Source organism: Homo sapiens, chromosome 1, assembly GCF_000001405.40.
Source record: "Homo sapiens chromosome 1, GRCh38.p14 Primary Assembly".
Lineage (NCBI taxonomy): Eukaryota > Metazoa > Chordata > Mammalia > Primates > Hominidae > Homo > Homo sapiens.
Window position 1 is genome coordinate 149,589,543 of NC_000001.11, and position 22,982 is coordinate 149,612,524.

Genomic DNA, 22,982 nt, shown 5'->3' on the forward strand with positions numbered 1-22,982 from the left:
TCAGGCTTCTACATGAAAATCTAAAATGCTCCTGCATTTCAGAATGAGCCTAACATATGTAATTGCACTCATCCACTATGTCTACATTGCCAACCAAATACTGACAGAGAGAGCTAGAGTGCCACAGAGAGCTGGCAGTTCCTCTGTTTGCATTAGCTTCTACTTGCTTCTTCATCTTTCCTCTATGTCTGACACATTTCATGTTACTGTTTTTAAATGTTCCCTTAGCTACAGAGCTAATGTGCTTATATCTGTAAGGGGTCTCATGTGAACCTCTAAATAATTAAAGATTCATTAGCTCCCTGGAGGGCCACCATGATTTCCAAAACAAGTCACAATACCTAAAGATCTAATTGTACAATTTCCCTCAGAAATAGCCTTGAGAAAGAAGTCACATCACTCAGCAATGAGTATTATAATTACTCACAGCAGTTTTCATGGTACTATATAACATCCAATTTACAGAATTAAAGGTAATGTAATTCGAAAGAAAAATAGCTGGTTTTAAGGAATGAAGGGCCATGTCAACTATTGGAAGCATCTTTGAACTGGAGCCTCTATGTTCGGGTTTCACCAGGTTTATGTTTTTAATTAATATCCTATTCAGCTTGCTGTAATTTCCATTGAGGTTTTCTAGAACAAGACAAGTCAGAAATTGATCTTTAATTATAAGCTAAGAGCAAACTGCCAAAGAACTGAGAGAAATTTTGAAGAAACAGGTCTATCAGGACTAACCATTTTAAGATAATAAAGACTAATCAGACACACACACATATGCACAAAAAGAGGGAGAGAGAGAACAAAAATCCTATGAAATACATTTTAAAAACTTAATTTTTTTAAGAAGAAGCATTTGATCTGCCAAAGAGAAGAGTTAGCAGTTTGGAGATCTGACATTGCTAATCTCAGGGCAAGAAAATAACAAAATAAGACACCAAAGAATTACCTAAACTGTGGAAGATGAAGCTTTCAGAGTTCTCACAGAGAGATGGGATACTAAAGTACCAAGTTTAAGAGGTGTAATCTATTAATGTTTAATTTATGTCCCAAATACTTAAAAACTATGTTTCATTGTTATACATATTTATTTTATTATAAAGATAATGAATGCAGTAGGGTTAGATTTAAATAATTCATTGGGTTTAAAATGAGAAATGAAAGTCTGGCTTTTTACAACCTACAGTCTTATCACCAAAGTTAGCTATTGTTAATAACTTCTTGTCCATTCTTGTATGTGTTATGGTTTCTTTCTTAGAAAGAAGTATGCTATACTAGTATACATGCTATTTATTCATGAACCTTGCACTTATCATGTAATCATATGTCTTAGTGGTCTTTTCATAATAGATGTCTCTCTTTCCCACGCTGTCAGTGGTGATTGCATGAGGCATTGTACAGACGTACCAATAATTACTTACTCTGTGTCATATTGTTGGTTATTCAGATTGTTTTCACTTTGTCCTTGCAGACAACACTGCAACGAACATACTTATGCATATCTTATTCCAAATACATCATCGTGATGGCTGTGTGAGAGAAATATACATTGTTGATTTTATTTTTTTATTTTTTATAATTTCAACTTTTGATTTTAGATACAGTGGGTACATGTGCAGGTTTGTTACATGGGTATGTTGTGTAATGCTGAGGTTTGCGGCATGATTGATCCGATCACTCAGGTACTAGACATAGTAGTTGTTTTTCAACCTTTACCCCCTCCCTCCTTCTACCCTCGAGTAGTCCCCAGTTTCTATTGTTCCCATCTTTGTGTCCACGTGTACTCAATGTTTAGCTCCTGCTTATAAGTGAGAATATGTGGTATTTGGTTTTCTATTCCTGTGTTAATTCGCTTAGCATAATGGCATCGAGTTGCATCCATGTTGCTGTAAAGGACATGATTTTATTCTTTTTTATGGCTGCAAAGTATTCCATGACATATATGTACCATATTTTCTTTATCCAAGCCACAGTTGATGGGCACCTAGGTTGATTCCATGTCTTAGCGATTGTGAATTACACTGCTGATTTTAATAGAAACCACTAATTTTTATGCCAAAAAAATCATCAATGTGCACATGCTCCAAGGCTGTGTGAGCATAGCCCTTTTTCTTGGGATGTCAACACCACTGGGTTTTATCAAAATATAATTTTTGCCAATTTATTAGTTAACAAATGCTAACTCAGTGCTACTTGGATTTGAACTACCACTGGTGCTGAGCAACTGTTTACATATTCACTGGCAATTTATTTATCTTTCTCTGTTGTTTATCTTTTTCTGTGTAATAATTTTCCCTATTTCTACTCTTTTAAACATTAAGTTTTCACTGTTTCCTTAATAATTTTTAAGTTTAAAAAGTGACCTTTTGGCTGGGCGCAGTGGCTCACGCCTGTAATCCCAACACTTTGGGAGGCCAAGGCGGGTGGATCACAAGGTCAGGAGATCAAGACCATCCTGCCCAACATGGTGAAACCCCGTCTCTGCTAAAAATACAAAAATTGGCTGGGGTGGAGACACGTGCCTGTAATCCCAGCTACTCGGGAGGCTGAAGCAGAAGAATCACTTGAACCAGGGAGTTGGAGGTTGTAATGAGCCAAGATCACGCCACTGTGCTCCAGCCTGGCGACAGAGCGAGACTCTGTCTCAAAAGAAAAAGTGACCATTTTATCTGCTGCATATAATTCTAATGATATTTCACAATTCGTTTATCTTTTAACAATGGTAATATATAATGTCTTGCTATTTAGAAAGATTTTTAAAAGTATTTTACATAAAGAAATTTTTATTCTTTGCCATTAATACTTGCAGGTTTGGAATTTTCAGGACCTCCTCAAAGGCCACCTACAGGAAATGCTCTTCAAAGACATTTCACTTTTTCCCCACTTGATTGTGGAGCAAAGACTAACACTGGCAATGCTTTGAAGTACTTGAGTCAAATGGGTCTCTCATGTGGTCATTACTATACTCACTCTTAGGCTCCAATGCAAATTGTTTCCTTACGCCAACTACTCTTGCTTTCCTTTAATAGACCTATTCCTCCTGGGCTGTCTGAAACTAACATTTCATTGTAAATAAAGTCCTGCAAGTCCTTGGTATCTCAAAGAACCCTCCTTCCATTTAGTTTTAGGAGAACTCTCCTCCTAAAACTCTATTCTTCTCCCTGGTGTCCAGATCCCCATTCCTTGCAACAAATGAACTCTTGATTTGAACACTGAAGGGAGATAATTGGAAGTTTGACTTTGTGTTCTAGGTTTTCCCTGCCAATATATGCAGCGTCTTTAAAACTAATTGGGCTGAGGCAGGAGAACTGCTTGAACCCAGGAGGAGGAGGTTGCAGTGAGCCGAAATTGCACCATTGAACTCCAGCCTGGGTGATAGAGCAAGGCTCCATCTCAAAAAAAAAAAAAAAAAACAGCAAAAAGAAACTTATTAGGTTCAAGAAGTTCGAATGAATTCAACTTAGACAAGCTCTTAAGCAGACATGTTGGAAGTTCCAGAAAAGACAGCTTGGGAAAATATTTTATTAAAAAAAAAAAAAGACTGTCCTCCACTTCCTCACTCTTTCTTCCCACTTATTTTCACTCCACTGGTGCAGTTTGGTGTCAACTCTCCTCACTCTACTGAAACTGCTGCAGCCGAGGTTACTAGTTATTTAATTAACAAAAGCAATAGATTTTGTTTTTTTTAATTGCATTATACTCTACTATTTTTTGACATTTAAACTATTGACAATGTCTTTCTTGAAAATGTGTCCTTTTTGTTTTTTTCAAAACACGACTTTCTCCTTGATGTCCTCCTTTTTCTCTCATTATTTCACCTTTACATTCTCTGCTGACACCTTTCACCTTACCAAACCTTAATTAAATGTGTATGCTTCCCAGTCTCCCGTTCTTGGCTCTCTTCCCTTCCCTCTTATTGATCATTATTGTATTCTGTGATCTCACCAATTCTCTTGGCTTTAACAATAACCAGATGACTCCAGAAAACTATTCAAAATTCCGGACCTATGGAGACTTTGCACCCAGATATGTACCAACAACTCAACCTCAGTTATCTCTAATATTATCTCATTAAGTGCCCTCTAACTACAGAATGACTCCTCCTTCTGGGTTTCCTCTGCCTGAATGGCACCACCATTCAGTGGCCCACGACAAATGTGGACCTCATTTGGAACTTCTCCCTTTCCCTCATGTTTCATTTTCTCTTGGCTAAAGAGTTATTAGATTCTTCATTTTTAGCTTTTCTCTAGCCTATCTTCAATTTTATAGTGGACAGTTATGTATAACCTATATCCCAGGAGAGAAGGGATATCTTCTTCTATGCCCCTACTATGAACTAGCATATCCTTTGAGTCCTTTCTTTGTATGAAGCACTGGGGAAATTTAATCAACTTCATAATCACTTATAATCCTCACAGTAATTTTATGAGATAAGTTCTATTTATTATCCCTATCTTAAGGATGAGGAGACTGTGGTTTAAAGAGCTTAAGTAATTTGGGCAAATCATAAAAGAAGCAGTGAAGACAGAATTCAAATCTAGGCAACCTGAAATCTGAGCCTGAGCACTTTGCCTCCCTAATAACTATCTCCCTTTGTGAGTTGTATTACAAAGTTGACAACATTTAGCAACCCTTATTCCCCTCCCCACCCCTATCTCTCTCCAAGAAATCTGCTGTGAGGTAGAGAATGTGTTGATTTTCTCTGCAGTTTTTAGTGCATAGCATAGGGCTTAGAAAGGAGAAAATGATGAAAAATATTTATTAAAATAATTGTTTTTCTTTGATAGTTGTTATAACCATCGAATTGTGAGTGCTTAACAATTACTATAAAGGAGAATGGAAATCACAGATCTTTTCACAGAATTTTTTTTTTTTTTTTTTGAGACAGAGTCCAGCTTGTCACCCAGGCTGGAGTGCAGTGGTGCGATCTCAGCTCACTGCAACCTCCACCTCCTGGGTTTAATCACTTGCCTTGGCCTCCTGAGTAGCTGAGATTACAGGCGTGCACCCCCACGCCTGGCTAATTTTTGTATTTTTGGTAGAGATGGGGTTTCACCACATTGGCCAGGCTGGTCTCAAACTCCTGACCTCCAGTGATCCACCCATCTCAGACTCCCAAAGAGCTGGGATTATAGGCTTGAACCACCGTGCTGGGCCTTTCTCAGAGAATTTATAGTTTACCTGGAAATGTAAACCATATGTACTTAAACTGAGGGATATTTACAAAAGAGCTTTCTACTTAACCCACAAGAAGCTGTATTCATAACAAAGCAAATCAAGCTTGTTCACAGGCAACTGAATGGAATGAATGGTTTTGATTGGTCTTGCCAGTTATATTTCTAACAAGAGAAAATTCAATGTGAGCCTCATTTGGAAACAAGATATTACAGAGAGGAAAATTTGGGATTAAGGTCAGATTTGGTGCAACTATGCTAGATACAGAAAAGGCAAACTTTCAGCTCAATCCCCAGCTAAGTACAAGTTCAATGGTGAAGGCATAAGAAAATGAGCCATTATAATAAGTCTGAAATAAGTTTATGATTCCACCTCAATATGGGCATGCAATATATTCTAACATTTAATCCCTGGAAAAAATGATGACATCACACTGAAATCTTGACTCATAAGAGAACTTTTTTATGCTGTTCCCTAAGTCAGTTTATTTCTACTTCATTCTTGTGTTAAGGGTAGGCTCAATTCTTACTCATTCAAAAACGGTATCACCTGAAGCTTTTCTTTAATTCTTGTTTTCTCTGCAGTGAGAAAATTAATCAAGGGGTTAAAATGTATATTAAATTATATATGTATTATATGTAAAAGTTATATAATATAGATCAGAGAAGAATATATTGCATATGTTATAGGCTGAATTGTGTCCTTTCCCCAAATTAATATGCTGTACCCTGCCCCCTGCCATCCCAGTATATCAGAAGGTGGCTATATTTGGAGATAGAGACTTTTAAGAGGTAACTAATGTAAAATGAGGTCACATGTCTGGGTCCTAATCCAATATCACTGGTGTCCTTATTTGAAGAGGAAATTTAGGTACAGACATACATGTGCACAGAAAAAAGTCCATGAGAAGACAAGATGAGAAAATGACTATCTAAAAGCCAAGGAGAGAAATTTCAGAATAAAATTAACACATCTGATGCCTTGACCTCACACTTCTAGCCTCCAGAACTGTGAGAAAATAAATTTCTGTTGTTTAACTCATCCAGTCTGCAGTAATTGTTATAACAACCCTAGCAAAGTAATATAGGAAGTATATATATATATATACACACATACATATATATACACACATATTTGTGTGTGTGTGTGTGTGTGTGTGTATATATATATATATATATGATAGAGTAGATAGATAGAGACATATACAGTCATCCCTCAGTATTAGTGGGGTATTGCATTCAGGAGCCCTGCATATACCGAAGTCTGCACATACTCAGGTCCCACAGTCAACCTTGCAGAGCTCGCATATGAAAAGTTGGCCCTCCACATATGTGGGTTTCACGTCCCACAAATACTATATTTTCAATCTGTATTTGGCTGAAAAAATCCACCTATAAGTGGACTCACACAGTTTAAACCAGTGTTATTCAAACGTCAAATGTTGATATATAGATGTATAAATATCTCATATGTATAGAGCAAGTGGGAGAAAAAATCTCTAATCTCTCTTCCTTCCTGCTCTTTTTGGATTGCAAACTCTTCTCTCATAAGTACAAAAAGTAATGTTAACAAAGTAAAGAGAATTGGAAATAGTAGTGTTTTTGACCACTAGTGTTTTGTAATTTTAGAAAAAAAAATTACTGAAATGTAACTTTTTATTTATATTGAGATGTTTTGACTCATACTCCAATCATACAGAACTAATAGATAAAATATGAAAAAGACTTCTTTTTACATACATAGCTGGATTAAAATATTAGAAATAATTTTCTTCCCTCAAAGGATCCCCTATTTAATAAACGGTGCTGGGAAAACTGGCTAGCCATATGTAGAAAGCTGAAACTGGATCCCTTTCTTACACCATACACAAAAATTAACTCAAGATGGATTAAAGACTTAAATGAAAGACCTAACACCATAAAAAACCCTAGAAGAAAACCTAGGCAATACCATTCAAGACATAGGCACGGGCAAAGACTTCATGACCAGAACACCAAAAGCAATGGCAACAAAAGCTAAAATAGACAAATGCGATCTAATTAAACTAAAGAGCTTCTGCACAGCAAAAGAAACTCTCATCAGAGTGAACAGGCAATCTAAAAAATAGGAGAAAAGTTTTGCAATATACCCGTCTAACAAAGGGCTAATATCCAGAATCTACAAAGAACTTCAACAAATTTACAAGAAAAAAACAACCCCATCAAAAAGTGGGCAAAGAATATGAACAGACACTTCTCAAAAGAAGACATTTATGCAGCCAACAGACACATAAAAAATGCTCATCGTCTCTCGTCATCAGAGAAATGCATATCAAAACCACAATGAGATACCATCGCATGCCAGTTAGAATGATGATCATTAAAAAGTCAGGAAACAACAGAAACTGGAGAGGATGTGGAGAAATAGGAATGCTTTTACACTGCTGGTGGGAGCGTAAATTAGTTCAACCATTGTGGAAAGCAGTGTGTTTATTCCTCAAGGATCTAGAACTAGAAATACCATTTGACCCAGCGATCCCATTACTGGGTGTATACCCGAAGGATTATACATCATTCTACTATAAAGATGTATACATGCACACGTATGTTAATTGTGGTGCTATTCACAATAGCAAAGACTTGGAACCAACCCAAATGTCCATCAATGATAGACTGGATTAAAAAAATGTGGCACATATGTGCCATGGAATACTATGAAGCCATAAAAAAGGATAAGTTCATGTCCTTTGCAAGGACATGGATGAAGCTGGAAACCATCATTCTCAGCAAACTATCACAAGGACAGAAAACCAAACACCGCATGTTCTCACTCACAGATGGGAGTTGAACGATGAGAATGCATGGACACAGGGTGGGGAACATCACACACTGGGGCCTGTCAGGGGGTGGGGGGTTGGGGGACAGATAGCATTAGGAGAAATACCTAATGTAAATGACAAGTTGATGGGTACAGCAAACCAACATGGCACATGTATACCTATGTAACAAACCTGCATGTGATGCACACGTACCCTAGAACTTAAGATTAAAAAAAAAAATTTCTTCCCTCATGAGGTACAAAGCCAAGCATTACACTGGGGCCATGATAGTCCAGGTTGCTGAAAGATTTAGATCTAAAGACTGAAAATTGGGATATATATTGAGAGAGAGAGAGAGAGAGAGAGAACAAATGGTAACCTAAATTTAATAAAATAATAATAGACAAATTAGGGTAACAGGCATATGAGTATTTTTTGTTCTAACAATTCTTTTATTTTCAAACTTATCTATAATCTTACATTTATTTCCCAATAAAAAGGATTTTAAGTTAAAAAAAGAAAGTTTTTCTGTAGTAACATTTTCACAACTAGGGCCTTTAAGACTGAGGAAATACTCCAAGCTCTGAGCAAACTCAGTAAGTATAAATCCATATGTAGACATACCACAGTAAAATGCAAGATACTAAAGACTAATACAATATTTTCAAATCAACCAGAGATGGAAGGCAGATTACCTGCAAAGGAAGGACAATTACTTTATCACAGACTTCTCTTCATCAACGAGAACAGACAATACAGGAATAACATCTCCCAAGTTGTGAGGGAGACTAACAGATGACATGAAATTCTACGACCAAATAAAGCATAATTCAATGGGCAGCAGTTAACAGAATTAAGCTGTTTCCAGACATCTATGGAGAGATTTAACTCAAAGATGTCACTGTAAATTTGATTGTTGAGATGTAGTAATGGATACTTGGCAAGGTTATTGAATTAGTTAAACGATCTTCAAAGCTTAGGTCATGTATCTTCATTAAACACATGGTGCTTTGCATTTACTAAAGAAGGGCTTCCGTTTTCTCTCCAAATAAATCATTGCGACCTTAGCACCCCAAGCGTAAAAACCTCTTTTATTTCTATTCTTGATCTCTAGTCCCTGCTTATGTGTATGCATAAATGCATGACACCGTGCTTCTCTTTTAGTTATTTATTTCTAGAGATCATGTCTTTGAAAATCATTATATTCCCAGCAACTATTTAGAGTGGTACTAAGCTAACTTGGTTTATGGTGTCAACTGCATAGCAGTTATTTGATTGGCCCATTCCTTTATAAAATATTTTATGCTTAGATGATGAACTCTACATAAATTCAGCCAGGAGAATGTTTTCCTTGGCAATCTCTGGGAGATTACAAATGTTCCTTTTTTTTTTTTTTTTTTTTTTTTTTGAGATGGAGTCTCGCTCTGTCTCCCAGGCTGGAGCCCAGTGGCGCGATCTCGGCTCACTGCAAGCTCCACCTCCTGGGTTCACGCCATTCTCTTGCCTCAGCCTCCCGAGTAGCTGGGACTACAGGTGCCCGCCACCACGCCCGGCTAATTTTTTTGTATTTTAGTAGAGATAGAGTTTCACCGTGTTAGCCAGGATGGTCTCGATCTCCTGACCTCATGATCCGCAAGCCTCGGCCTCCCAAAGTGTTGGGATTACAGGCGTGAGCCACCGTGCCCGGCCTACATATGTTACTATTAACTCCTCCTTCTGCTAAGAAATAAACCAAAATAAAATTATTCACAAATATAACTGTTTTGATCATGCTTTCGGATGATATGTAAAGTAGCCCACAGAAGGTAAATAATATTCAGGGGAAATAAATTATTACTTAAGAGTGGGTGCTGAGAAAAAGAAATGTGTGAAGTGTGAGGTAGGAAGTATGTGAGAAAAGCTAGGGCACAGTTGTGTCTTATATTTTTGTTAAAATCTGCCTGTTAAGACTTCCTGATTGGGTAATGGGAATGATACAGTAAAATACTCTTCCTCAGAGTGTCTGACACCTTTGTGATAATTTACTACATAAAAGTACAAGTTACATTATATAAAAAGACAGAATGGCCTGGCTCAGTGGCTCACACCTATAATCCCAGCACTTTGGGAGGCTGAGGCAGGTGGATCATCTGAGATCAGGAGTTCGGGACCAGCCTGGCCAAAAGGATGAAACCCTGTCTCTACTAAAAATACAAAAAATTAGCCAGGCATGGTGGCAGACACCTGTAATCCCAGCTACTCAAGGGGCAGAGGCAGGAGAATCGCTTGAACCTGGGAGATGGAGGTTGCAGTGAACTGAGATCGTGCCACTGCACTCCAGCCTGGGCAACAAGAGCGGAAACTCCGTCCCCCCAAAAAAAATGACTCCAAGAAACTGAGGTTTCTAGATGAGGGTTACACAATGTGGATCTAAAAGCAACAGGGAAAGGAAAAGGATTTGGGCCTAGAATGTGGGGAATTTTAGATGCTGCAGAAAGCCTTCTGGTGTCTTTCTAGAATGGCTGGATTTTGGTTAAGGCAAAGAAGAAGTAACTTTTCATGGAGAACAGTAGCATACAGGAGTGCGGATGGTTTGATCATTTAAGGCAGGGATGTGAGGTTTGATGGAATATGTTGATAACAAAGATTCTTTGCTTGGCCAACTTTAGTCAGGCTTCTAAATCTTCAGCTAGGCTAAACTGTGCACTTCCTCGCAAAATCCAGCATTAGCAAAGAACACTGCCAAGTTTACCAAAGAACCCCTCATTCTCAATATCTGATCAAGTTCTTCATTCTTCACCATTCTGCAGGTGATGTCTGATCACCCTGGCCAGTCTTCAGCAAGAATTCTTTTAGGTCGGTTTAGCCAGAATCTCCCTTACTCCTGATGTTTCCTCTTAGTGATTTTCCATTCACTGACCCCTGCATTGCTCCTGGGCTATAAATTCCCACTTCCCCATGCTGTATTCAGAGTTAAGCCCATCTCTCTCCCCAGCTCCAAGACTGTGTTGCAGTGGTTCCTATATCTATGGTGATGGTCCTGAATAAAGTCTTCTTTACTGTGCATTTGAAGTATCACTGAATAATTTTTTCTTTAACAATTATGGTGTTGAAACTCAACTAGGACAGATTCATCACTGGATCCTGGGCCTCTCACTCAGAACCCTAAATGCATGCCTTTGAAGTCTTTGTTGTCATTTCTGACTGATTAGGGATCCATTGGTGAATCATATTCCTGAGCCATTGCTCCAGACAAAAGCCCGTTGATGGCTAAGGACAGATTTTGAATCTGAAGGGATGAATATTCTCTCTGAAGCTGGGGTAGAGTCCCAGGCTTCTTTTGAAAGCAATCCTCTGGGCAGGAAGGTCTTCGTGTGGGCTTCTTGTTCTGAGTGGTCTATTCTCTGAGTCCCTAGACTAGAATTCTCTTCTTTCTGGCTCTCTTTTTCTGAGTGAGGGGTTATTCCCTGATTCCCTGGGCTACAAATTGTTCTTCCTGGCTCTCTATAAAACCACTCTGCTCTTTCTCTTCTCTCTATTGGATCCTGCTTCTCCCATGGGAGCTCTGTCACCTGAAACCCCTCTTCTCAAGTCTCTGCTGACTATTTCTCTGTCCACTCTTGCCAGACCCGTTTCTTTTCTGCTGAACTTCAGGACCCCTATCCTACCCTCCTTTGAGGGGGCTCTCAAGGGACTCAGAGGCCCCTCAAAAACAAGCACCTGGGGCTGATAATAGGAGAAAAAAAGAAACTGTTTGGAAACTGATAAAGTAAAAAAAAAAAAAAAAATCTTAAAAAACCTCCTCCAAAAATATTGGTAAAAAGCTTTAGCCTTTGTTATGTAGGTCAACTCAACTTATCCCTTTTTCACCAGAAACACAATTTGGATAACAATATAAAGCGGAGATAAACCAGTGAGTTTGTATTTTTGTATTACTCTGTTTTACTGCCTCATGGTTAAAAACTTTTTTTTTTTTTTTTTTTTTTTTTTTTTTTGAGACAGAGTCTCACTTCATTGCTCAGGCTGGAGTGCAGCGGGGCAATCTCGGCTCACTGCAACCTCCACCTCCTGGGTTCAAGTGCTTCTTGTGCCTCAGCCGGGCGCCACCATGCCCCACGCCCAGCTAATTTTTGTATTTTTAGTAGAGACGGGGTTATGCCATATTGGCCAGGCTGGTCTCGAACTCCTGACCTCAGGTGATCCACCCACCTCAGCCTCCCAAAGTGCTGGGATTACAGGCATGAGCCACTGCACCTGGCCTGGTTAAAATTTTTTAAATGAGAAGTCATAAGATCTGGTTACATCAGTCTATATGTTTGTGTATGTGTACATGTGTGTATCTATGTTATTATGTTATGTATATGTGATATTTTTCTACTTCCAACGTTATTACCAAACTAAAATACCCAAATTGGCTAGGGATAAATGAGCACTCAAACAAATAAGAATGTATAAAATTTTCAGAAAAGTAGAAACTGACCCAATTTTTTTTAAGTTCACATAATCTGGGATATTCCTTAGTAAATGAAAACTAGTTTAAAAAATATTGGTAAAATAAAAATAGAAACATTTTCAGAATTGTCAGCATACACTTGTTTTACCTGGCTTTGCTGATTAGACAAGTTTGTGTTGTTACTGTTAGATGTTTAAGGCCATAAAACCATAAATTCAACCTAAGAGTAGAATATGTAGTAAAAGTAAATTGCTTAATTGTCTGGTGTATGTCTGTTGCAAAAGTAAATAAGAAAAGATGTCTAGAAGGATTGTGAAAATCTTATCTTGTATGGTCTAAGCTGACTGAGATTGGATAGATTTATTTATAAGGTTTTATTAAAACTTAGTTTTAGTAATACATTGATTCAAAAGTAGAATTTGATCTTCTCCGTTAAAATGGTAAAGTTTTCTTGGAATGTTGGTCTGAGAATGTAAAGGGTATTTTTTTCCTTTTCAGTAATTGGCCTCAGAAACAGAGACTCTGTTTCATCAAGATAATTTCTTGAGTTTCATGTTGTTTTATTAGGTTTTTGGTTACTTAAGAAAAGTGAGTCTTCTCAATATTAAAGGAGCTAAGTTCTTGTTCACAACTATGTAATCTGAATTTGCCTTTAAAATCTTTTAATGGAGCTTTTATTAAATAGATAACTATGGTCATATTTGTTTTAAATGTTTTAAACTTTTTGACATTTTTGACAATCTTCCCAAAATCACATTCTAAGTTAAGTCTTTTTGACCTCAAATTAACTTAGGATTCTCCATATTGGACCCTCAGAAAGCCACAAAGTATATTTTTTTTTGTATGAAAGAGAGATTAAACCAATTAGATTTATTTAATATGCTAAATTATATGTGTAACATTCAAATAAAAAGTGATGCTAAGCCATCTTTAAGTTATATTTATGGATATATTATTGGGATAAGTGTACAAAAGTTGTATGAGATTCCTAGAAATCTAGTATGTTATCAGTCATAATTTTGGTTATTATGTTAAAATGCTGTATGCCATGCTAACCAAATTTTCTTATAAATTGCATCATTGTAATGAACTCTCATTAAATTTTTTAACCATGGACACTTTAAGTCCTTGTCATCTGTAGACAGTTATTGTTTTAATTTAATTGTTCTCTAAAAGCATTTGAAATTAGCTACAGTCCAAAATGGCTTCTTCTTCAAGGAGATTTATGGAAAATACTCTTATGAGTATTCTGGAATACAGGTTTCTGAACAACTTTAACGTCATACAATTGGACTGGTAAGAATTTCCAGAACTCTAATAAAACTGACGGGTTCATGTAACTACTAACCCAAGATCAAGCAAAACAAGATTTAATTACATGGTACTGAATGAACTGATGAGAATAATTTTTAAAATGACTTTTTGTTGGAAACATTGCTAGTTCTTTAAATGTTTTGTTTTCCAGATTTCAGAAAACTTTCTTTTAAGCTATCTCTAGCTTACACCAATTCAGTAAAGAATACTTTTGTGCAAAATGGAAACATTTACTTTTTCTCCCTAACTTATCCCTCCAGAATTTGGAAACTATTTGTGCATATTCTTATTTTTATGGCAATGTATTTATTTGCATAAGTTTAATAAGAATCTGTTGTCTTTGTAACAGGACAAACTGGAAACACAGGTTATATCACCAAGGCTTTGACTGAAACATCATGTTTTCAGATATGACCAGAAGGCTTTAGGGGACTAAGGTTGGCTTTATGGAACCAATAAAGTACCATCTTGGAAAAACTGGCTCTAGGGTTCCCAGACTTACAGGTAAGTAAAGAATGTCACTGCTTGGCAGGTCTGGAAACCTTGGGATATTTTAGGGACCTCAAGAAGAGAGAAATTTATCTAAATCTATAAATGTAACAGGTGCAGACTAATGACAAGTTTTGGGCTTGTATCCCAGCCTCAAGTGGCTTTTAAAAGTTTAATCTGACTGGAGACAGTGGCTCACCCCTGTAATCCCAGCACTTTGGGAGGCCAAGTCAGGTGGATGACGAGGTCAGGAGTTCAAGACCAGCCTGACCAATATGGTGAAAGCCCTGTCTCTACTAAAAATACAAAAAATGAGCCAGGCATAGTGGCACGCACCTATAATCCCAGCTACTCGGGAGGCTGAGCAGAAGAATCGCTTGAACCCAGGAGGCGGAGGTTGCAGTGAGCCAAGATCGCACCACTGCACTCCAGCCTGAGAGACAGAGGGAGACTCTGTCTAAAAAAACAAAAACAAAAAGTTTAATCTGAGATTTCTTATCTGACAAACGCAACCTTTAGAAGAGCCTAAATGGTCAATCACTACTCTTAACTGCACTTGTGTACATAACCAGTACAAGTTTAATGAGATTAAACTTATTTAGCAAACAAATCAATCTGACTTTGATTATCTTTGACAGAAATGAGAGTGAATATAGAGAGAAAAGTTATGTTTCGGGAGAAAACTGCAGTGCACCCAATATTAGATTCTAGCTGTTTTTTTTTTTCTGAGGTTTTATTATCTGCCTGCAATCTGCAATAGATCCTCAATTTTTCTAGTTTACTACAATATTTAGCTACAACACTCCAAATTAATATTTCATTTTTTTCCTGCTATTCTGGCTTGGAATCACTAAAATTATAAACTTTTCATTTCTTGAAGTCCTTCAAACTGAAACTGGATGACTTGACATAAGCTTCAGAAAAATTACCACAACAGCTTGTGTGTGGCCCATCTTTATGGCATTCAAACTGCAAACTAATCCAATGCCTCTTCTCACTCCAGCTGAAGATACTACAAGCCCAGCATCTAGAAATCTTATTGATCAGCTGCCCTCTGGGCTCAGAAACTGTCTTTATAGTTCGTTCCAACTATTAATCTTTTTTAATTTTATTTTTATAGAAACTAAACTTCCCACATTAAAGGCTTGATAGCTCACACTATCCAGGAAATATCCTCTGCTACCAAGTCCCAACAGATGATTCAACTGGTTCTTAATGAATAAAAGGTGATCAAACAAGAAAAGAGACTTATATTGTTTGAAGGAAAGATGAGTGTCTCTTCTTTCCTTAAACAAGAAGTAGTACTAACAAAGATTCCTTGCTTGGCCAAACTTTATTCAGATGTCTATCTTCCTTGCAAAATCCAACTTTTTTTTTTTTATGTGGTACAATGTGATGTTTTGTTCTTTTTTTTAAATTTATTATTATTATACTTTAAGTTTTAGGGTACATGTGCACAATGTGCAGGTTAGTTACATATGCATACATGCGCCATGCTGGTGCGCTGCACCCACTAACTCGTCATCTAGCATTAGGTATATCTCCCAGTGATATCCCTCCCCCCTCCCCACAACCCACAACAGTCCCCAGAGTGTGATGTTCCCCTTCCTGTGTCCATGTGTTCTCATTGTTCAATTCCCACCTATAAGTGAGAATATGCGGTGTTTGGTTTTTTGTTCTTGCGATAGTTTACTGAGAATGATGATTTCCAATTTCATCTATGTCCCTACAAAGGACATGAACTCATCCTTTTTTATGGCTGCATAGTATTCCCTGGTGTATATGTGCCACATTTTCTTAATCCAGTCTATCATTGTTGGACATTTGGGTTGGTTCCAAGTCTTTGCTATTGTGAATAGTGCCGCAATAAACATACGTGTGCATGTGTCTTTATAGCAGCATGATTTATAGTCCTTTGGGTACATACCCAGTAATGGGATGGCTGGGTCAAATGGTATTTCTAATTCTAGATAGAATGTTTCCTCTTATAACTCATAGTGAATATGACTGGACAATGAAACTATTTTGTAATTTCTTTCCTGAAAGATAAAGGCGTTAGAACATAGAATCTTTCACTGATTCTACAGAATCTTAAGACTCCTTCAGAGATGGCAGTCATTCCTACCGTGCTGAACATCATGTTGTCACGGTCAGAATCAGAACTAAATTGATTAAGGGTCTGAAACCGTTTGGCACTCTTGGGCACTTATTCTGATAAGAAAGCTGATGAGACAGGGTAATGAAAAGAGGCTGCAAGAAATGACCATTCATGCATTCAGCCAACATTTAGGCCACCCTCCTGTATTCCAGGCACTGTACGTGGCACTGAGAATGCAAAGCAAAACGAGTCATGGTCTACTGGCGGGAGCCTTCTCAGCGGAGAAAAGATCAACAAGAAAAGTGCCTGCTGGAGACCCCTCCTAGGGCATAAACCAATATAGAGGTGGGGCAGCTACGTCAGCCTGAGGTGTCCTTAGGCAGAACAGAAAGTGAGAATCAGAGCAGTATCTCATTTCTGAAAACCTGGATTGTAGCTTTCCCTGGGCTGACTGTCAAAGGAGGTGGTTTTAAAAAGCAAGCCAAACAGGTTTCCATCCTTTAGGAAGACCCTGGAACGTGCCAGTTGATTCTGACAATTTCTCATGAACAGAAACACCTAGGAAGGGAGAACTGGTGAGTCTTTTCAAGAGGAGGAAGTCCCTCAAAAGGGGCTGTGTTTCGCAAACGGCGCCCCAAAAGGGCTGAAATACTTCGATCTGGAAGAAAAAGACTCAGGCACTGAGGGAAGGGGAGGGTGCACATCTGGAGTAATTTCAAGGCTTTTTCCGTGTTATCTGATGTGGCAACAAGTAGAGATTTGTTCGTTTTATTATTTTTTTAATTTTTAAAGATTTTCTTTTCCCCCCTTTTCCCCCTCCCGGCCACTCCGGTTTGTGTTTGCCACAAGACTCATAATTCCTTTAGAAAGTGGAGTCGAATTCATAAAAGTGACGGGGGGAGAGCGCGGAGAGGGAAGGCTGGGAGCCCCAGGGAGTCTTCACTACCTACACTGCCGCTCAGCTCCCGGCGCGAGTGGAGGTCGGGGTGGGGAGACGCGACTCCTGCCCGGGATGGCTGACACTCTGCGAGCCCCGGCGGCCCGCGGCCGGGCCGGGTGACTAGGCGGAGGGCGCGGAGGGTCCGCGGCGGGCGGGTGGCGCTGCAGCAGCCTGGGCACGGCTGCCGCCGCCCGCGGGCGAGAGTGTGCACGGGTGTGGAAGGCCGGAGTGCGGGCCGTGAGGGGTGTGCGCGCTTGAGCCGGAGCGGGGCTCGCCCCTCGTCGGCTCCCGCCGCCCAGCCGGTGATCGCTCTCCGGCCGTCCCCGGCACCCTCGGCCCCCCACGGCGGTTGGTCCGGGCGGGGGAAGGAGAAAGTGAGACTCGGTGTCATCACCAATCCATCGCCAGAAGGGGAGGAAACTGGAATCCAGCAGCGGCGAGCAGCAGCTGGACGGTAACATCTGGAAATGGAAAGCCGACCTCCCCCTCCTCCTCCACCTCCTCCTCCTCCTCCTCCTCCTCCTCCTCCTCCTCTCACCCAGGATCACTTCCAAAACCACTTGGCCTTCAGCCCCTGCCTCGGCCAGAGGTTTCATTTTTAACTGAATATTTACGAAAGCTGAAAGCGTGCGAGGGGGGTGGGGTGGAAATAGCGGCTGCTTCTTTTCCAAGGATTTATTTAATGGGGATGTGTTCAAGGCAAGACCGAATTCAGAAGGATATCGACGTCGTGATCCAGAAGTCCAGAGCTGAGGACTGCCTGTTTGCAGGTGAGTTCTTGCTTTTCCAGAACCTCGGACCCAGCGCCCCTTTCTCAGTTCTCCGACCGCGACGTGTGTGGCTGGGGGTGGGGTGGAGGGTTTGCACGTCCGCATTCCGGGGTTCATTTGGCAACAGCTGCTGCAACGAACGCGGGAGCCAAAAGCGGGAGGGGGCGCCAGCCTCGCCCCTTCCCCTCCCCCCACCCCCAAGTATGGGGCAGCTACCAGCTTTGAGGGCAGAACCCGCGTGGCCCGAGCGGGGGTCTAGGCGAAGGGGCAGTGCGTGGTATTTCCAGCCCCGCGTAGTGCCCGAAGCCTGCAAGCACGCCTCCTGGGTTCCAGCAGCGGCGGCAGAGCGGGGTTGGTTGGACCCGCCAGGTTTGCGTAATGGGCTGAGCGGCGGCGGCCGGGAATGGAGCCTGCTGCGCTGCGCTCCTAAGCTGCGCCCGGCGCCGAGGACCCCCGGGGGGCAGCGCTCGGCCCATCTCCGGCCCCTTCGGCTCCATCTAGTCCCCTCCGACTGGCAAAGAGAAGGGATTCCTCGGATTCCCAAGGCACCCAGCGCCCCTGCCTGGGGGGTCGCCTTTCGTCCATTTTGCTCCCCCGGGAGAGAGATCGGATTTTGCTTTCGCTGCCGCGAGCCCGGCTGGGGCTGCTTCCGGCCTCCCCGACCGGGAAATTCCCGCCGTTGCCATGGCACCCGGCACTTGCTGCCGGGGGCGGCCTGCCGCTGCACCCAGTCGGGGGCGCGCCGCATCCCCTCGGACGCTGCGCGGAGAGACCTCGCCGCCCTCTAGCCCTCGCCTCCCGCCCGGCCAGGCCTCCCCTGACTCCACCAAATGGAGGGCCCAAGTCCTGATCGGGGTTAAAACAAATCCACTCCAGGGGTAGCTTTTGACAGGACTTTCTGTTTCAGATTTCAGATACTCAGACTCCACCTTTACTTTTACCTATGTTGGCGGCCCCAGAAGGTATTTATGGGTGTAGAGTTGCTTCATTTCCTGTTCACACTCTTGTGTTTCCTTTGTTCTTAGCGTGTTCCGTGTTCGGGTATTTTGGTTGCTTGTTTGATTACTGTGGCTTTTCTTTACCTACAACCCAAGCCTGACGTCCCTCGGTTTTAAATAGCAGGGAGAGGGGAATCAATGTTTGATTCAGGTGTTTCGAAGACCACGCCACAGGCGATGAGCAGAACTCTTCATGTTGAAACGGTTCTGCTACAGTACTAGATTGCTCTCAGGCGATTTGGGGTTGATACAGGCAAGCCGGTGCAAAACTGGAATACTGGATATGAAGTGAAATGTATAAAAGACATAAAATGTCACAAAATAGTTTGATCACAAGTGTTGATTTTCCTGGTGAGTTGGGGCTGCGTGTTTCCATGTTTTCTGAAGGTTCACATAAACATGCAGCCTGCCAATTCTCTGTACATTTTTTTTTTCAATGAGTGGTATTTCGGTTTTCACGTTTAGTTGTAAGACAGAAATTGGAGACTTATATGTAGCTGGAGTGGATGACTTCTTTCTTTTGGGGGAAGAATGAGAGATGCACATTTCGTTAGTAAATTGTGAACAACTTGAAACAAACCCAAATCCAATTTTGAATTTAAGAAGTAGAGTTAAAATGAAAGGTAGCCATTCAAATACTATGCCTTGCTGCCTTCACTTATTAAGTTAGGATTTTCTTCCTTTTAGCCCTTTAGGGATACAGTAGTTTAAAAGAGCAGTAGCCACATATGAAAGGATCAGATTTAGCTTAGAGGGAATTCCTTAGACCAGCCCTGCTGTTAAGACTTGACATTCAATATTGTTTGATCACATTCCAAAATATAGCTTAGCTAATGGCAACATTTGTAAACATATAAATTGCAAAAGAAGCTTTCTTGTGTACATACATTTTTAAAAGCTTGAAATTGATGTGAACTTTTAAAAACACGTAGGATCTGTATTACATTCTACATCTCAAAACAAATTTAATTAAAGTGAATATCATTCCAGTATATACAATATGCCTAAGACCCAGAATTGGCACATTGATTTATTAGTTGAAAATATAACAGTATTCACCAAACTTCAATGTATACTTTTTGGAGAGAATGAAATTACAGTATTTCTTAATTTACTGTAATGTCATCTTTGTAATTATGAATTAACAATTCAATGAGAGGAGACTTGGTTGATTAAATTAATGCTGGTCCTACACATTATATCTAAAGGATCTTCGTATATGACTACTATCCTCTTGGATTATTTTAACAGTTAAAATATACAAAGTGGCCCATTAAAAACAGAGTTGACTTTTCACCATTGCTGTTTTTCTGGTGAGACATGTGGAAAGGAAGGACAGGTGGACTTTTCAACTAACTAGCTCTCTGATTTTTAATAAGATACCTCAGTTCTTTTGGCCTCAGTTTACTTCTGTACAAAGGGTAAGTCATATGCTTAATCACTAAGGTCTGTTAGATACTGCAGTTAAGATTCTTTATCAGCAAATTACTGAACTCTATTGTTAACATAGCTAGAGGTGGAAAAGGGAGCAAGACCAGGTGTTGGGATGAATAATTAACTAATCGAGATAACATCAGTTTTCACCATAGGAACAAGTACCATGGTTGCTCTTAAAGTAAGAGATGTTTCCTATTTTATGTAATTTTACTAAGGGATAGTGTTTTCTTTTGTCACTGACTTAAATGTACCTGGATGTTTCTCAGCCATTTGGCTAAGATCGAACACAAGTAATACCTGGGCCTTTTATATCTAATCTAATGTAGACCAGCCTGTTAAAAGAGAAAGACAATTGGTTAAACTGCTGATGTGTTGCTTTGTCTTCTCAAAAGCTTGTTCTATAATACAATATGTAAAAAGTTGTTACAGTGTAGTAACTGTAGATAATCCCTTTATGATTTGTACCTAATGGCGAAGACCTTTTATTTTCTGAAAATAACGTGTTTGTTTTCATTACCAACATTAGAAGCCAATATTTATTAATCTATTTCTCATCCTGACATTTCAGTCAGACTCTTAAAATAATCTTGCTGTGTTTTGATTTAATGTGCTTATCAACTTAGAATATTGAATTAATGTTAATAGTGTCATTTTAGGTGAACTAGACTTCATTGAAGGAGGTGGGAGCCTTATGGAGAGAGAGTATATGATTATCTCTATTTGTATTTAATTACCATTTCATCTAACCATTCAGAACATATTTCAAGAATAATTTTAATTCAAGTTGTAGGTAAAACTTACTATACCATTTTCATTTTGACGCTTTCCAAGAATGAGATACACGGTATTTTAAAGACAAAGATTGATCTTACATGTTACTATTAAAAAAAACACGATAATTTTGTTCTACATTTATACTTTTAATTTTTCTGTGGATAATAAGAAATGCCAAGAGTCGATTGTGTCCATGCTGGCAAGTGGCCTAATAAATTGTCCTTTTATTTGGTGGTCCTCAGAGTGGCAGTTAACATCTTGCTATTCTGCCTTGTGGACTTGAGGTGGAAAGGTTCATGGCATTATATCCTTGCTTTTGGATGTGCAAACTGAGGCTCAGAGAGTTTAAGACACATAGTCACTTTCACCAATTAAATGATGAAGCTGCCATGTAAACGTATTTCATCACACTCCCGAGACCTTCTTCTCCAGTAGTGTTTTCAAGCTTTTTGAGCATGCAGACACTACCATCAAAAAATTATGTAGAGACATACTTGAGAGTTACAGTTTAAAGAAAAACAAGGTGTAATTATTTGGTTATTAGTAGCATTTACATATGCTTGAAAACTTCTGCTATATATACAGTAAGATTAATTTATTCTAACAATGATCTTGATAATCCCCCTGATTCCCAGACTCCTTGGAATAGCTCCACAGCTATCAGTGGTTCTGCCACAGGTTCAGAGCCTTCCCAGTACTGCCTTCTTATTTGAGAGGTGTGCTAAGAGCTATAAAGCAGAGGCTTCAATTGTACACAATTTGGAAGTTTAGGCAAAAGTCATTTCTTCCCTATATTTTGTCATGCTTATCTCCTGTCTCTTTCTGTTTTACAGATTAGCAATAAACTCCTTAAAACCCAAAGGTTTGGGCTTCTGTTCCTTTCACTTGCAGTCAGACATGGAGTTAGTGGTAGAAGAAACAGAAGGGGTAACCTGCATGGTGACAGCTACTGAGGGGATGGATAGGAAAGCAGGCTGAGTCCCTGGGGCCAGTGGTTACCAAAGCCAAGGAGAGAGCAAGGGGAGCCCAGTGGGCCTGGCCATGGACTGCTCTGGAATTCCGAGTGTGAACTTTCAGCCAAGAAGGTAGTGTGAAAATATTACTGTGAGGTTTTAAAAGTACACAAATAACAATTGTTTTTTGTAAAAAGAAAAAAAAAAAGTTAGAAAAAGAGATATGCCAAAAAGAAGAAAGTAAAAAATACATGACTTCTGTCTTCTGTTAACATATTAAAATTTATTCTTTTAGATTTTTATGTGTCTATATACATGTAAAATATATATGCATCCCCAAATTGTATTATACTCTTTTGAGACCTCACATTTTTTTTCACCCAAGAATATAACATTAATTTCTTTCCTTTAGAAAAGACATGAGACTAAAGAATGTTTATTGAGTTGAGAGTTTCCCAGTCAAGGAGTATGACTCTGTATAATAATAAATCTAATGTTTTATTTGAAATTATAATAAAATTAGAAATTTAATATTTGGCAGGATGTGAGTTGCCTGCATATGTACACCCTTTATTATATGACTAGACACTCTTTTGTGTGGTCATGGATATATTGGCATCTTTTGAAGTGTATCCTTTTTGTTTCAGGAGCTTCTGTCTAGATGAATAGCAAGTGTGACACTGATAATAGTAATCGAATATTCCTCCAAGTACAGGCTCCTTCCTCTTTCTCCTGGACCTTTGCACATGCTGCCTGGAAAACTCACCCACAACCTACTTTCCATCCTCTCCTTCGGCTCATCCCTGCT

At 39.5% G+C, this 22,982-nt stretch overlaps 1 protein-coding gene and 2 long non-coding RNA genes across 6 annotated transcripts in view, besides 1 other annotated feature; 2 read left to right on the forward strand and 1 right to left on the reverse strand.

The window, feature by feature from the left end:
* The window catches only part of LOC124904410 (uncharacterized), a 41,997-nt gene extending 24,924 nt beyond the window's left edge, over positions 1-17,073 (forward strand). Inside the window, exons 2-3 of the long non-coding RNA XR_007066582.1 lie at positions 14,065-14,219; positions 16,515-17,073. This is a non-coding gene — a long non-coding RNA (uncharacterized LOC124904410). The remainder of the gene's footprint in view (positions 1-14,064; positions 14,220-16,514) is intronic.
* LOC124904409 (uncharacterized) lies at positions 15,033-22,055 on the reverse strand. The gene is made up of 2 exons (XM_047438165.1): positions 18,229-22,055; positions 15,033-18,083 (listed from the first exon to the last, which is right to left on the reverse strand). The coding sequence occupies exons 1-2, from the start codon at positions 18,758-18,760 to the stop codon at positions 17,245-17,247; spliced, it is 1,371 nt and encodes a 456-aa protein (XP_047294121.1). The 5' UTR covers positions 18,761-22,055; the 3' UTR covers positions 15,033-17,244.
* The window catches only part of LINC00869 (long intergenic non-protein coding RNA 869), a 72,512-nt gene continuing 66,999 nt past the window's right edge, over positions 17,470-22,982 (forward strand). For all 4 annotated transcript variants that reach the window (NR_111950.1, NR_111952.1, NR_111951.1 and 1 more), the window contains exon 1: positions 17,470-18,012. This is a non-coding gene — a long non-coding RNA (long intergenic non-protein coding RNA 869). The remainder of the gene's footprint in view (positions 18,013-22,982) is intronic.
* Positions 17,533-18,064: an enhancer, noted in NCBI's record as "NANOG-H3K27ac-H3K4me1 hESC enhancer chr1:147931672-147932203 (GRCh37/hg19 assembly coordinates)". NCBI's record gives its function as "activates a minimal SCP1, AML or CMV promoter by ChIP-STARR-seq in primed H9 embryonic stem cells {active_cell/tissue: H9 hESC(primed)}" and the evidence as "EXISTENCE:reporter gene assay evidence [ECO:0000049][PMID:30033119]".